Source organism: Homo sapiens, chromosome 15 (assembly GCF_000001405.40).
Source record: "Homo sapiens chromosome 15, GRCh38.p14 Primary Assembly".
Taxonomy (NCBI): domain Eukaryota; kingdom Metazoa; phylum Chordata; class Mammalia; order Primates; family Hominidae; genus Homo; species Homo sapiens.
The window spans coordinates 65272307-65288645 of NC_000015.10; the positions used below are offsets into that span (position 1 = coordinate 65272307).

Genomic DNA, 16339 nt, shown 5'->3' on the forward strand with positions numbered 1-16339 from the left:
ATTTACCATTCTAAAATCAGGAAGAATCGGAATCCTGAAACATATTCAGTGCCAGGATTTCTGATAAGGGACTGGGGACTTGGACTAACAGATAGCAACAAAGTATCTGTAGCTTTTGCTCAGAAGTTATGACTGACTAGAGGTCAAACCTCTCCAGCATGGCATTTAAACACCTCTAGCCTAATCTCAACCCCTTACCATCCCCTCCCCATCACAGACTGGTTCTATTCAGGAGCATGTCTTGTTCCAAGAATACCCCTTCCCCCACCTCTACTACCCAGGCACTTCTGATCCAAGAGACCACTCTCTCCTCTAAGCCCCTAAAGCCCATTGCCCCAGTTCTCCCTTCCAAGTATGGCCAGACACCTGGAGGTCAAGAACTGTCTTGTGTTTTTCCAATTCTCCTCTTTCCTGGATGCAGAGAAACAGCATGAACTGTGGAATCAGATCTCAGTTGGAATCTCTGTTGAGCTTCTATCTCCTCTCCAACAAGGGCACCTCTCTACCTCGCCAAGGGGTTGTCAGGAAGTTTGAAGAAGGTCACAGAATCTCAGGGCTTGGTCTATATATGTCCATTTCTTTTCTTTCCATTTACATTTCTCCCCAGACAACACTGTCCTCCCAAACCCTGGCAACCTTTCCTTCTGCTTTGCAAGGGATGTAGTTGGCACTTCAAGAATACCTGTGTGGTGGCCCGGTGTGGTGGTTCACACCTGTAATCCCAGCACTTTGGGAGGCTGAGGGGGGCGGGTCACGAGGTCAAGAGATTGAGACCATCCTGACCAACATGGTGAAACCCCATCTCTACTGAAAATACAAAAATTAGTTGGGTGTGGTGGCATGTGCCTGTAGTCCCAGCTACTCGGGAGGCCAAGGTAAAAGAATCACTTGAACCCAGGAGGCGGAGGTTGCAGTGAGCCAAGATGGCGCCACTGCACTCTAGCCTGGTGACAGAGAGAGACTCTGTCTCAAAAAAAAAAAAAAAAAAGAATACCTGTGGTTCTTTTCCATTTTTCTAGAAAATTGACTATTACTGACTTTGGGAGTTTTTCTTAGCTCTGTAGTTGAAAATTAGAAACAGAGCCAGGTGTGGGGGCTCATGCCTATAATCCTAGCTACTCAGGAGGCTGGGGTGGATTTCTTAAGGCCAGGAGTTAGAGACCAGCTAGGGAAACACAGTGAGATGGCTCTAAAAATAAATAAATGAAATTAAAAACATCTTAGGGCCACTTTATTTCTATTTCCAGAGATTCAATCAATAGCCTCATATATTGTAATAAAACTATCTCAGGTTGGGTGCAGTGGCTCATGCCTGTAATCCCAGCACTTTGGGAGGCTGGGGTGGGCGGATCACCTGAGGTCGGGAGTTTGAACCAGCCTGACCAGCATGAGAAACCCCATCTCTACTAAAGATACAAAATTAGCCGGGCGTAGTGGCACATGCCTGTAATTCCAGCTACTCGGGAGGCTGAGGCAGGAAAGTCGCTTGAACCCAGGAGGTGGAGGTTGCAGTGAGCCAAGATCATGCCATTGCACTCCAGCCTGGGCAACAATAGCAAAACTCTGTTTCAAAAAAAAAAAAAACAAAAAACACCAACTATCTCTACAGGCCTCATGAGGTATCAGTGAAAATCTAATATTTATTAAAAGAAAAAATTTTTTTGGAGACAGGGTCACGCTCTGTTGCCCAGGCTGGAGTGCAGTGGCACAAACACAGCTCACTGCAGGATCCATCCCACCCCCACCCGAAGTGATTCTCCTGCATAGCTGGGACTATAGGCACATGCCGCCATGCCCAGCTAATTTTTTTTATTTTTAGTAGAGATGAGGTCTTGCTATGCTGCCCAGGCTGGTCTCAAACTCATGAACTCAAGTGATCCTCCTGCCTCAGCCTCCCAAAGTGCTGTGATTACAGGCATGAGCCACCAAGCCCAGCATACTTTTTTTTTTTTTTTTGAAAGTGGATGTGTGAGCCCGGGCATGGTGACTTATGCCTGTAATCCCAGCACTTTGGGAAGCTGAGGTGGGCGGAGCTCTTCAGTTCAGGTGCTCAACACCAGCAGGGGCAACATGGCGAAACCGCATCTCCACAAAACAAAACAAACAAACAACAAAAAAAAATTATCCAGGCGTGGTGGTGTACACCTGTAGTCCCGGCTACTTGGGCTGAGGTGGGAGGATCGCTAGAGCCTGGGAGGTAGAAGATGCAGTGAGCCATGATTGTTCTACTGCACTCCAGCCTGGGTGACAGAGTGAAACCCTGTCTCGAATAAAAAAAAAAAAAAGGATGTGTGGAGTGCAAATGCTCCATGAGTATTGGTGCTATTTCTATGCCTTGCTTACTGTTCCACGCCACCTGCTTCACCCCCAGGCTGCATGGCCTTGCATTATTCAGGGGGCATTTACTAAGCATCTACTTTGTGCCAGGCCCTGTGCTTATAGGAGGAGGCATTAGATTTAAAATGGGCCCCTTAATCAAGTGGGGAGGCAGAAAGGTAAATAATAATGACTTAAAAGTATTCATTGTCGCCAGGCGTGGTGGCTCACGCTTGTAATCCCAGCACTTTGGGAGGCCGAGGCAGGCGGATCACCTGAGCTCAGGAGTTCAAGATCAGCCTGGCCAACATGGCAAAACACCATCTCTACTAAAAATATAAAAGTTAGATGGGCGTGGTGGCAGGCACCTGAATCCCAGCTACTCTGGAGACTGAGGCAGGAGAATCCCTTGAACTCCAGAGGCAGAGGTTGCAGTGAGCCAGTGAGCCATCACTGCACTCCAGCCTGGGTGACACAGCGAGACCCTGTCTCAAAAAAAAAAAAGCAGCATTCACTGTCGTAACAAAGTTGGATACAAACTACTAAGAGGACAAGGTGGGACTCCTGTTGCGTAGGGGCTAAAGGAAAAGGGGGTGGGGTTGGGACCAGCTTCACAGAGGAGGTACTGTATGATCTGGGTTTGCTATATGAAACCACAGAAGTATAAAAGCGCAGCATGTAGCTGGGGAAGTGGGTGGTGGCATGGTTAATTGTGCAGTTCTCCCAGGCATCTGGGGCTCTATTCCTCTACTAGCTGTGTGACCTTTAGTGAGATGTTTGACTTCCTGTGTCTCAGCTTTCTCAAATACATAATTGGGATAATATCAGTAGCTACTTCATAGGGTCCCGGTGGAGATTAATCAAGTTAAACAAGTGCTCAAACCAACAGGAAAGTATTAAGTACTCTAATGTTAGTGTGACTGCCATGACTGTCATCATTAACAACAGGTAATTCTGTGTGGCTGGAACCTAGAGTGTGGGGAAGTGGCTGCCAAGAGGAAGAGTGGGAAGGTGACCTCAAGTGAGGTCATCTCAAATGATCCTGTGAAGGACCCTGTACTCCACTTGGGAACCCCAAGCTTTGTTCTGTAGGTTATACAGAGTCACTGAAGACATATCCCAAATGGTGTACCCTCAGGTAGCTTACCCATACAGGACTGCTGCCTGCACAGTCCAAAGGGCACTCATCCCCCTTCCTTCTTTTCTATTCCTTGTTATCTCAGAGCCAGAGCTGAGTCATCTTCTCTCCAAAGATTACTACTATTCCCATCACTCGTGTCCTCAAATCCCACCTGTGAGTCACAGCCCTTGTCAACAGTCCATATCTAGGCCCAGAGAGCCCCACAAAAGGACAGTCAGCTAGCCAGGTGCCTTTCAGGGACTCAGTCTGGACAAAGGGGAGAGATGCCTCCTAGCTCCAAGCTGGACCCAGGCCTCTTCCCGGCCCTCCTACTGCATCTGCCCAGACAGGGTCCCTGCTGCATCCTGCCCTCCTTGCTCCCCACCATCTGTCCACACTCTTTAATTCCTCAACTGACCTTCTTTATGTCCCATTTCACTTTGCGTGTTACTCTGAAAAATAAATCTGCTTCAACAATTTAATAGGATTCTTCCTCTTGTGACTAAAACCTGTCTGCATTTTAGCAGGGCCTTTTGGGAACCAGGCACACAAGTAGGGTTGCCATTTAAAATACGCTCTGCCCGGTTAAATTTGAATTTCAGATAAACAACAACAACAACAAAAGACCCATTTTGTTTTTTTTAAAGACGGGATGGGGTCTCACTCTGTCACCCAGGCTGGAGTGCAGTGGCAAGATCACAGCTCACAGCAGCCTTGACCTTCCAGGCTCAAGCAATCCTCCCACCTCAGCCTCCAGAGTAGCTGGGACTAAAGGTATGTGACATCATGCCCAGCTAATTTTTTGTACAGACAGGGTTCCACCATGTTGTCCAGGCTGGTCTCAAAACTCCCGGGCTCATGCAATCCACCAGCCTCAGCCTCACAAAGTGCTGGGATTACAGGCATGAGCCCCTGTGTTCAGCCAACAAATTTTTTTTAGTATAAATAACCCATGCAATATTTGGGACATATTCATACTTAAAATCCCAGCACTTTGGGAGGTTGAGGTGGGTGGATCACCTAAGGTTAGGACTTTGAGACCAGCCTGGTCAACATGGTGAAACCCTGTCTTTACTAAAAATACAAAAAATTAGCCAGGCATGGTGGCGGACACCTTTAGTCCCAGCTACTTGGGAGGCTGAGGCAGGAGAATCGCTTGAACCGGGGATGTGGATGTCGCAGTGAACCGAGATCACGCCACTGCACTCCAACCTGGGCAACAAGAGTCAAACTTCATCTAAAAAAAAAAAAAAAATTATTGGTTGCTCATCTTAAATTCAAATTTAACTAGGTGGCCTATATTTTTATTTGCTAAATCTAATAATCTTACCCTTAATAAGGCACTTAGGAATCCAGTCTGGCCTCTTTGCTTAACAGTACCTCCTGCCACTAACTCCCTCCCCACCCCCAATGCTATTCCTCATGTGACCTATGGTTTTCTTCCTCTGTGCTTCTGTGGCTGCCTACCATGACATCCCACTGAGTCTTCAAGGTCAGCAGTCACCTCCCACGTGAAGCCTTCCCTGACCACCTACAACCTCTGTACTCAATAATTGTATTCTATTGTGTTCAGCAATACAGCAGAGCCCCATGTTGGTACCTGACCCTCTGGGGCCAACTCATATCTGGTTGGGACAAACACTCCCTGAGGCCAACCACATCTTACTTACCCTGGATCCCCATGCCAGCCTGGAACCTGGCATGAAGTTAAGAACAAAAGAGTAATAGCTACTATTAATTTGAACCCTTACAGGTGCCAGCCACCAGAATAAATGCTTTGCATGAATTTATTGTTATCTCATGTTATTCTCATAACCTGTTTTGAAGATGAGGAAACTGAGGCTTGGAGATGCTCAGCACCTTGCCTAGGGGCACACAGCTATTCAGTGGCAGGGTGGGGATATGAAGCCAGGTGGCCCGACTCCAGAGTCTATTCTCCTGCCATACACTCCTACCAAATGAATGGAGAAATTTAGTGGTGGACTGAATATTTTAGCCCAAAGGAACAATTCTGGCAGAATTTTTAAGAGACTGCTTTGGGAAGCTAATCAGGTATGATATTGGAATTCCCCCCAATCCCAAAATAATACAACTGAGACAGCTACTGGCTGTGCCTAAGCCAAAGGTAGGGAGAAAGATGTATGTAATATGCAGTATAGGGGTATGTGGAAGAAATCACCATCTAGGCAAGCATTCTGAATCACACATCAGTACATGGCAGTGGAAGGCATTTGCCAACTGGATCCAGGAGAATAATTATCCAAGAGGAAGGCAGGTATTTCCAGGGATGGGGAGGGTTTCCCACTCCAGGTGGGAAAGAGCACGGCAGATGGGCAGAGAAGTGAGCAGAGTGTGTCCCAAAAAGTGCTCCTCCTGGGCTCAAATGTCCCCCAGGGCCCGAGAGGTAAAGAAAATGAGTAACGGGAGCCCGGGAAAGAGTTGTGAAGACTGTGTTGAACTGGTGACTCCGGCCTCCATTAGTCGTCTAAGGCCAACCAACCCTGAGCTCCAACTGCTTCCTGCCCTAGGGCAACCTCCACCAAAGGTGGTAAGGCCTCAGATTTTTGTTTCAAAAAGAAATCAACAAGCTGTCTTTTTAATTTCCCAGTTTCCGAAAAGCTAGAGGACAAACAAAACCCGTCAGCTCACAGGCAACACATCTGCAGCCTCTGCTGTGGGGACTAAGGAAGGATATAGCTGGAGAGATAGCTGGGGGAATCTGAATGGTGAGCAGAGCTGAGAGCCTCAGGGGTTTGGGAAGAGAAGCCTCTTAGGAAAGAGGTACTTTGGGTGAATAGGCCTCACAGAGGAAAGAGAGGACCAATGAGCTACAAGGAAGCAACTCAACCTCCTTGCTTGGAGCAGGAGCAATCACTTAGATCACAAGCTCCTGGGGAGGAGGTGGCCCAGGAATCTGTGATTACAGATGTGGGTACAAGTGATTCTTATCATCAGGAAAAGCTGGAGATACTCAGGTTTAGATCTTAGACAATGTTGTCCTAGAAAGGTGCGGCAGCAGGAAAGAACAAACATCTGAAAAACATACTTGTCTAGGAAAGTGTCAGAGGTCACAGTTACTAGATGTGGGTGGAGGTGCTGAGAAGGAAATGAACCAAAGGTCTGCCAAGGTCACCATTTTTGGGACCACAGTGACACCCAGAACAGTGGGGCAGGGGCGATGAGTGGAGCTAGAAGGCTGCTGAAATGAAGGCTGAAGAGGTGGACACCACAGGTACAATTTGCTTTGCACAAACCTACAGTATGAAAGGCCAGATTTGCCAAAACAGATTAGGGATCAGAGTCTACAAAAGAACTCTTCACAGGAGGAGCCAGCATGGGGACCCTAAAGGGTTCTCCTAGGAAGTAGGGGTTCTCCTAGGAACTTTTAAAAGTCCTAGTGCCTGGGAGCAAGAGTGGTGTGCCATCACCACGTCCAGTGATTAGCTGATGGTGATGAAGATAATACTAAAACCTACAACCCTGAGTTGTTAGGAGGATTAAATGAGCTACGTGTAGTAACAGCTCAAGACAGCGCCACACAAACAGTAAGTGCTATTAGTGTGGTACAGGTGTTGGTTGCTATATTATTATTATCAATCAAATACCCTCTCTCTGCTGCTCACCAATCTGCTGAGGAAAGGTCTGCATTTCTGGGATCGTTGGAAGGAAAGAGATGGCTGGTCCTGGAGGGATGGATCCCACCCCTTCACCCTCCATATCACCATCCCATTAGCTGATATCTTTCTAGACACATACCTACCCACTGACAGTCACATAATATTATATGTATCTATGTCTGTATCCATATATTTTCAGACCTGTGTACTTTTTCTCCTCCACTGTTCAGATGCCATCTTTGAGAGGAGCAGAGAAATAAAAAGGTAATCTGAGAGATCAAGAATCTTACCTTGAGATATCAAGTATAGACCTAATAGGCACTTTTATTATTAACAAATCTAATTGTTATCATTTCCTCACCATCCAGCAGGTATGGGTGCTCATGAAAATGATCAAATCAGTTACTAGAAAAATAGAAAAGCTACATATTATCTGTAAGGAAACAAACAAAAAATCTCAATGCCAAGGCTGCACTTTAAACCAATCAAATGAGAATCTCTGAGGATGGGGCTCAGACGTCAGGGTTTTTTTTTTTCCTTAGTTTCCCACGTGATTTCAATGACAACCAAGGTTGAGAGGCTTGTAAAGAATGATCTTTCCAAACCGGGCTCAATGACACAACTCCTGCTTGAGACCAGGAGTTTGTAGACCAGCTAGGCAACATAGCGAGACTCCTGCCTTTTTTCTTTTAATCCAATAATAATAATAATAACGATCTTCCCCAGTTAATGTCAATATTCAATTTCCAATATGGAAATAAGCATCGAAAGCCTTCCTTAGAAAGGTTAGCCATGAGCCAGGTGTGGTGGTTCACGCCTGTAATCCCAGCATTTTGGAAGGTTGAGACAGGCGGATTGCTTGACTCCAGGAGTTTGAGACCAGCCTGGGCAACATGGTGAAACCCCATCTCTACTAAAAATACAAAAATTAGCCAGGCTTAGTGGTATGTGCGTGGAGTCCCAGCTACACGGGAGGCTGACGTAGGAGGATCGCTTGAGCCCGGGAGGCAGAGGTTGCACTGAGCCAAGATCACGCCACTGCACTCCAAACTGGGCAACAGAGCAAGAACTCGTCTCAAAAAAAAAAAAAAAAAAAATTAGCCATGGACCAGCAATTTCACCTCTCAGAATGTATCCAAGAAGACAACAACAGATATAAACAATGATTAATGTAGAAGGATGTTTATCAAAGTATTATTTATAAAAGCAAAATTTTAAAATTATAAAGAAACCCAAAAGAAGGACTCCTAACTGCTAGGGAGTGGAGGCACAGAATAAGGTGGAAATTTCACGTGTATCTTAAAGGATGAGAGGGAGTTTGCTTCAACAAAGATGGAAATGGCATCAGGAGGGCTCAGGACAGAGAGGAGCTTATATGCGCTTTAACCCAGACACTGGGGAGTCATGGTGTCTAGACAGTGCAAGCCAGAAACCAGAAAGAGGGAGGAAAAAAAAGAGAAAGACTCCTTACTCCTCCAGGACCAGGAGGCCCAATTAGAGCAGTTTGGCACCCCAAATGAGAACAGGGTAAGCTTCATGCAGTGCTTTTCAGACTTCACTATGTGTACAAATTGCCCAGATTTGTTAAAATGCAGATCCTGACTGGATAGGTCTGAGGCAGGACCTGCTTTTCTAATGAGCACCCAGGTGAGGCTCATGTTGCTGGTCCTCAACCACACTAAGCAGCGAGGGCCTGGAGCTAACACAAAGAAGCCATTCCCACACACTTCCCACCCCCAGAAAGGGTCTACAGGCTAATGGAGAACCAGAACATGCTATTTCGGGAGGGAAAACAGAACAAAAAACTGTACAGCTGCGACTGTGTCAAGTGACAAACCTGAAGTTCGGAGGCCAATGGTTAAGGGGTACAGGGAATCCCAAGAATGTTACAGGTTCTCTCATCCAACCCTGGTCCCAAAAAGCAAGGTGAGAAATCCTGAGCCTGGGTATTCAGCACACGCACAATGTGATTCCTCAAACATTTGATAAGTACTTCCCAGGCCAGGCACTGGAAATACCAAGAGCTCCCAGTGTAAAATCAGAGAGCTGGCCAGGCACGGTGGCTCATGCCTGTAATCCCAGCAGTTTGGGAGGCCGAGGAGGGCGAATCACCTGAGGTCAGGAGTTCAAAACCAGCCTTGACCAACATGGTGAAACCCTATCTCTACTAAAAATACAAAAATTAGCTGGGCGTCATGGCATCTGCCTGTAATCCCAACTACTAGGGAGACTGAGGCAGGAGAATCGCTTGAACCCAGGAGGCAGAGGTTGCAGTGAGCCGAGACCGCGCCATTGCACTCCAGCCTGGGCAACAAGAGGGAAACTCCATCTCAAAAAAAAAAAAAAAATCAGAGAGCTTATCAGCACGAAAATGGTCTCAAAACAAGACACCTCAGGGATAATTTGGGACTTTGAGGACAGTGGTAAGATAAGGCTAGATCAGACCTAAAGCCAAGAGCTTGGTTCAGCAGTGGGGAGTTCTCAGGAAATCACCAATCAATAAAGTAATTTAAGGCACAGGTCTAATTTTTGGAAACTGCAACCCTTGTGTTATAGGTGTGTAATAACACCTCACAGTGTGGACAAAGATTTAAATGACTGAAAATGGTAAACTTTCACATTACTTCCTAGTGCTTTTAGCTGAACAAATGAAAGTGAGAGACTTTTTTTGAGACAGGGTCCCACTTTGTCACCCAGAATGGAGTGCAGTGGCACAATCACGGCCCACTACAGCCTTGACCTCCTGGTTCAGGTGAACCTCCGACCTCAGCCTCCCAAGTAGCTGGGACTACAGGCGTGCACCACCACACAGGCTAATTTTTTGTAATCTTTTTATAAAGACAGGGTTTCGCCATGTTGCCCAGGCTGCTTTCAAACTCCTGGACTCAAATGACCCGCCCCAGCCTCCCAGAGGGCTGGGATTACAGGTGTGAACCACCGTGCCCAGCCAAGAGACTTTTTAACAGCTCCATACTTTCCTTCTTCAGGTAACTACAAAATGATCTAGCCAGTCCATTCCAGACCTGATTCCCTTTTCTTTAAAAGTTAGACTTTGATTCAGATACAGATCCAGATGCCCAGTTCTCTGCATCATTTCAGTAACTCATGTGACGTGGCAAAACGAGGCCTAAAGTGTGTGTTTATCTAAGAATGTATGCATGTCCCCAGAAATGGTGCCAGGCCCCACCTGTGAGCAGTCTTGCTGCTGACGGCCATGCCTACAGACAGCCAAGAATCTATGTAGTCTGGGCTATTTTCCTCAACAATGGTGCCCTATAAGGAATATGGCAACAGAAATGGATGGTAAGAATGCGTGTTTCTCCAGTAGCCCTCAAGAGAAAGGGTAACTATCTGGGACTGGTACAATAAACCCCATGGGAGGGGCAGTCTGTCTCTATAGAGGAGGTGGCTTTTTGGGGCAACCTACGTTGCTGATGCTCTCTTAAGGGATTACAAGTGGGGCAAGGGAGAAGGGGGAGGATGGGCCCCAAACAGAGCAATTGATACCTTTGCAGAGGGGTGAGGGATAGAGTGAGATCTATCAGGGGCACTTTTACTTTACTGGTATCATTTGAATTTTTTATAATGAGAATATATTCAAACATTACCTGCATAATTAAAAATAAATTTTAAAAAGCATGATCAAAACAACTCCACAAGCCCCTTTGCATGTATCCCATATTCACCAAACAAACCTGATTGCATTCGCCAAGACCTTCCAGCAGAAAGAAAATAAGTTCCAGATTCTAGTCCACTTAGAGATATGTTTCTTGGTAAAAATTAAAGCTGCACTGTGGCCAAGTGCAGTGGCTCAAGCCTGTAATCCCAGCACTTTGGAAGGCTGAGGTGGGAGAATTGCTTGCGCCCAGGAGTTCAAGACCAGTCTGGACAACGTTGTGAGACCCCATCTCAATTTTTTTTTTTAAAAAAAGCTGCATTGTGAGTTTGATCCCTCTGACCCCAAACACTCCTCCCAAACAGGTCCCTCTCTCACCCTGCCACCACAGGTGTCTTTCTGGATCTCACCTCTATACCCTCCCCTGCCCAAGGATAAAAATCTCCACAACTTAGCAGGGCATGTGTAGCCTTGCATGCTCCATAGGCTGGCCTCATCTCTTCCTGTTCCCCACAACAGTCACACTAAATCACAGTCTTGTCCTTCTCTGTAAGCTCACACCTCCTGGCTGACCATCCTGCTACTCCTCCTGGAATACTCTTTCCCTCTTCTCTGCTCTTGAAGTTCTGCCTTGGGACTTGGCAAGGCATCAGCCTCCACCCCTAGATGGTGTTCCCTGAGCCTGGCCCAAAGCTGAGAGCTAGGGGGTGTCCTTGCTCTGGGCTTCCATGTTGTACGGCGCTTACCTAGTATGAGAGGTTAACACTGTTAACCTCTCCACGGGTTAATCCTGTATCCTTAGCACCTGTCCCATAGCAAACACTCCATAAGTATCTGTTGCCAAAACTGAATGAAGTTTCGTACCCAAGGTCCTGATACACCACACTCAGAAAATTGAGTATCTGAACCTGCAAGAACAAATCTCGAGGGAAGTCAGTCAATTTGCCTCTTTCTCCAACCTCCCACTTCCGGTACCCTGAAACGCCTGTGCACTGTGGTCACCACTTGAGATGCCCTCGACACATCATTAGGTGGGCTACCAGGACCAGGTTGGGCCAAGAGGCTCAGCCTTTGTCCCTCAACCTCCTAGGAATGATAGCAAAGGAGGAACCAAACACTGATGATTTCATCAGAGATAACGCTAAACACGTGTTGATTCTAAATACCTCCTTTAATCTATCAATGTGGTTCGTGCCATTAACTGATTGCCTAATATTGAACTAATTTTGCATTCCTGGGATGAACCCAACCTGGTCATAAGGAATTACCCTTTTTTATACATTGCTAGCTTTAAGATCCTAATACCTTGAAGATAATTTTTGCATTCATACTCATGACATTGGCCTATAATTTTCTTTCCTCTTTTTTTTTTTTTTTTTTTTTTTTTGAGACAGTCTTGCTCTGTTGCCCAGGCTGGAGTGCAGTGGGGCGATCTCGGCTCACTGCTACCTCTGCCTCCCAGGTCCCAGTTCAAGCAATTCTCCTGCCTCAGCCTCCTGAGTAGCTGGGATTACCAGCATGCACCACCATAATGGTGAGACAGGGTTTTACCATATTGTCCAGGCTGGTCTTGAACTCCTGACCTCGTGATCCACCCGCCTCAGCCTCCCAAAGTGCTGGGATTACAGGTGTGAGCCACCGCACTCGGCCTATAATTTTCTTTTTTTGTATCACCCTTATCAGATTTAGGGTCAAGGTTATGCTAGCCTCTTTTTTAATACTCTGTGTAAAACTGGGAATTACTTATTCCCTCAGTGATTGCTACAACTCACCAATGACACCAGCTACGTCCAGAGTTTTCTTTGAGGGAAAATCCTTGACTACTAATCCAACGTCTTTTTTTTTTTTTTTTTTTTTTTTGAGAGAGAGACTTGCTGTGTTGCCCAGGCTGGAGGGCAGTGGTGTGATTACAGCTCATTGCAGCCTCGACCTCTTGGACTCAAGCCATCCTCCCGCCTCAGCCTCCCAAGTAGCTGGGACTACAGGCGTGCATCACCACACTCAGCTAATTTAAAGAAATCTTTTTTGCCTAGGCTGGTCTCAAACGATCCTCTTGCCTTGCCTTCCCAAAGTCCTTGGGATTACAGGCATGAGCCACTCAGCCTTTTTCTTCTTTTTCTACAATAGTCTAGAAAAGTTCGCCCAATAACCTGGCACCCTCCAGGTTTTTTTTTTTTTTTTAATGGAGTTTCATTCTTGTTGCCCAGGCTGGACTGCAATGGCGCAATCTCGGCTCACCACAACGTCCGCCTCCCGGGTTCAAGCGATTCTCCTGTCTCAGCTTCCAGAGTAGCTGGGATTACAGGCATGCGCCACCACGCCCGGCTAACTTTTTGTATTTTTAATAGAGACGGGATTTCTCCATGTTGGTCAGGTTGGTCTTGAACTCCCAACCTCAGGTAATCTGCCCGCCTTGGCCTCCCAAAGTGCTGGGATTACAAGCATGAGCCACCGAGCCTGGCCCCTCCAAGTTTTTAACAGTGAAGAATGTTACTTGTGCAAGTCAGAATCTGATACCAATTAAATGGTGACAGCTTTGCTGGTAAACAAGAATATGCTCTTCCATGGCAAGGAAGGGAGACTGCCACACTTGACAGGTCCCAAAGATACATGGAGTTCAGTGTCTTTAATGAATATCAGCTATTGGCGATTTCAATTTTCTGCTTTTTATTGAATCGATTTTGGTAAGTTATATTTTTCTAGGCAATTCCAAACATTTGGATTATAAGGATAACTGATATCTTGAATGCTGACCCAGAGGTGAACTCTGCAAAAAAAGTGCCTGGTGAATCAGAGAAATAACAGCTTACATATGTACTGGATGTTACAGTTTATAAAAGTACTGCCCATAGATCACCTCATCTGAAGACCAATGTCTGGGCGGCTTTGGTGACTTTTTGGTGTCTAATTATTTGCAAAAGGATGGATAACTTTCTAGCTAAGCAAAACAGCTGATTCACATCAACCCTATTCCTGGCCAGGCTAGAAAATCTGTGGAGGACTATGCAACTATTCCTCACTTCAGTCCTCGGAGTCATTTGTCATTGACAGGAGAGAAGCAGCCACCAAGTGCCTTGGGAGTGAGCGTTGACATGAGGGTGTTAGCAGTGTTCTTAGCTCATGGAAACCTTCCCCAAGGCAAGGCAAGACCAAGCTGGGAATGGAAAGTCTGGCGGCTGTCATGTTTACTAATGCGGATGGAACTGCCTCTACCTGTGGTTCCACAGGGCACTTGGTCCAGGACGCAGTGGGCAGCGCCAGGACAAAGCACACTCACCAGGGCTTCAAAGTCCTTACAGTCGCCGCGGGCGTAGGACGCGGGGAAGGGCCGCAGCACCGAGTCGCGCTTGTAGCTCTGCAGGGCCGAGGCGAAGAGGCTGCACCGGAGGTCGGCGGCCAGCATGTCGCGGCCCGCCGCCTCCCTGGCGGCCGCCCAGCCTGAGGGCTGCATCCCAGGTCACTGCGCGTTGCCGGGGTAGACGCGCTGGTTAGGGGCAAGGGCGAGCGTGCGTTCAGCGCGGGGGCTGGGCCCGCGGACAATGGGCCGTCAGGGGCCGGGTTCCCAAGCCTGGGGTGGAGCTAGGCAGGGGGCTGAGATGACAGGGGTGAGAACGTGCCGACAAGTGTCCTCTGCCGGGGTCTGGGCCGCGGCTCGCCGCCGAAGAGAGAGACCGAGGCCTGGACCGCGGGTCGGCGGGGAGGTTGGGCCCAGGGATAAAGGAACTGGGGCTGGTGGGGGGGAGGGGTTCCCGGCCTAGGGGAAGGGCTATGACAATGGAATGACAACCGCGGGAACGTGCTGACACGTGTCCTCCGCGGAGGCCTGGGGCGGGAAGCAGCCCCCGGGGGACGGCGGGCAGAGCCCACTCTCCGCGACGGGCGAGGCTGCTGCGCCGCGCGCGCCTTCCTGCCCCGCCTCCCGCCGCGCCGCCGAAGTCCCGCCTCTCGCCAAGCTGCCCGCGGCGCCACCTGTCTTCCGCCTGCAGCTCACGTCCGCTTGCCTTGCCCGGCCTACCTCCCCTCCCGCCGCCGCGCTCCGCCCGGCCCAGCCGAGGGCCCGCCCCTTCGCGCCCCAGCCAGCTCCACCGTACGGGTTGTGCCCGCCCCTCCCAGACCCCGATCACCCGCAGCTACGAGAGTTGCCGCCGCCAGTGTGTGCCGGGCGACGTCGCCCACGCCCCTGCCAGCCATCCTCACAGCAGCAGCAGCCCTGGTAGAAATTGATGTGGGCACCCTCTCGACCCGCCCCTGTACTTGTCTTTGTCCCAGCTCTGCGGACTGAGCCTACCTCTCTTCCTTGGGGTATTAATGCTACCTATTGTCTCTCTTGAATCTTTTCCCTCCAAAACTGCACAGAAGGAGCCATTTAACACCCAGGGAAACTGAGGCTTAGAGTGCTGCAATGCTTGCCCAAGATCCCACAGCCAGATGGGTAAATCTAGGATTCACACCGAGATCTTTGGAAAACCAAAAGACTTTTCCTCTGCTTTTCAGCCTCCAGAATTCTCTGAATTGCTTAAGTCTCTGGCCTCAAATGCCCCAAGATCCTCCTTGGGAGACCTCTCTGACAGGGAGCTTGGGGGAGAGCAGAGGGGCATTGACTTAACTCTGCTGGAGGGTAAGGACTAGACTCCCATCCCCTCTCCCTACTCAGAACCTTCATTAGAGAAAACCCCAAAGTGTGACCTCATGGTCACATGCAAATCTAAACACAGACCATTGTGCTTAAACCAACACACCGCACACACTCCTACCCTGCAGGATCTTCTGAGGAAGAAACTTCTCCTTCTGCATCCAGGCTGTGCTGGGCCCTGGACTCAGAGGAGAGGTGGTCCCATGCCATTGGATTGCATCTATGACTTCGGGAGGTAGGGCGAAGACTGGTCCCCCAGACACCACAGAGCTTCCCATCTTCTTTTGCCAGGTAAAGGTTGGGGGCTGCTCCCAGGAGCCCACATCAAATCTGTTTGCTCTGAGGCCTAGAACCACAAGGCCCCTAGTGCTTCAAAAGCCATGGGGGTTCTCATAGGACCCAGGAACTCTAAGGTGGCTTCTGAAGCTCAGACCCCAGGAAGGGAGAGCTTGGAGTGGGTCAGGAGACCAGGGAACCATCTCTCATTCCACCTCTTCTTCATTGCAGGCCCTTAGACAAAAGCCACCCTCTGATACCTCCTTGGCCTCAAGAATTGTTTGTTGGGTGGATATATAAAATTTGCTTATCTGAAGATATTTGTCACATATGATATGAGAATCATAGTGATAATATTCACATCACAGGGTGGTGTGGAAGGGCCTCTGATGGCCAGCATTCTCATGACTTAGCTCATGCAGAATATTAGAATTCTTTTTAATTCTTGTCAATTCCATAGACACAAAGTTGAATTTCATTATAGTTTTAATTTGCATTTACTTGATAGTGAAACTGAATGTTCTTATGTTTACTTTATTCTTCTAGATTTTATCAGAATTTGCTAAGGTGGTCTCAGAACCACATTTCTTGTGGAGGGGTTTCAGCCCTGCTTATATAAATTTGATATAATCCACAGACCATACAATTCACCCATTTAAAGTGTACAATTTAATAGTTTTTAGTACATTCACAGATATGTGAAACTGTCACAATCAATTTTAGAATATTTTTATCACCTCAGAAAGGAACTCTCTACACCT

The 16339-nt window shown here is 47.8% G+C and overlaps 1 protein-coding gene and 1 non-coding gene across 23 annotated transcripts in view, besides 2 other annotated features; both read right to left on the minus strand.

Annotated features, from left to right (window-relative positions):
• PARP16 (poly(ADP-ribose) polymerase family member 16) overlaps positions 1 to 14577 on the minus strand; it is a 55967-nt gene extending 41390 nt beyond the window's left edge. For all 22 annotated transcript variants that reach the window (XR_007064469.1, XR_001751341.3, XR_001751342.3 and 19 more), the window contains exon 1: positions 13947 to 14577. Coding sequence is in view for 17 of the 22 variants with exons in the window: in XM_047432777.1 (XP_047288733.1) it covers positions 13947 to 14120 (174 nt within the window). In the remaining 5 variants the exon portion in view is untranslated. The remainder of the gene's footprint in view (positions 1 to 13946) is intronic.
• On the minus strand, positions 13155 to 13285 carry SNORA24B (small nucleolar RNA, H/ACA box 24B). The gene has a single exon (NR_145768.1). It is a non-coding gene; the product is annotated as a small nucleolar RNA, H/ACA box 24B (small nucleolar RNA).
• Positions 14262 to 14821: a silencer, noted in NCBI's record as "silent region_6554". NCBI's record gives its function as "represses an Ori minimal core promoter by ATAC-STARR-seq in GM12878 lymphoblastoid cells {active_cell/tissue: GM12878}" and the evidence as "EXISTENCE:reporter gene assay evidence [ECO:0000049][PMID:35858748]".
• Positions 14972 to 15021: an enhancer, noted in NCBI's record as "active region_9594". NCBI's record gives its function as "activates an Ori minimal core promoter by ATAC-STARR-seq in GM12878 lymphoblastoid cells {active_cell/tissue: GM12878}" and the evidence as "EXISTENCE:reporter gene assay evidence [ECO:0000049][PMID:35858748]".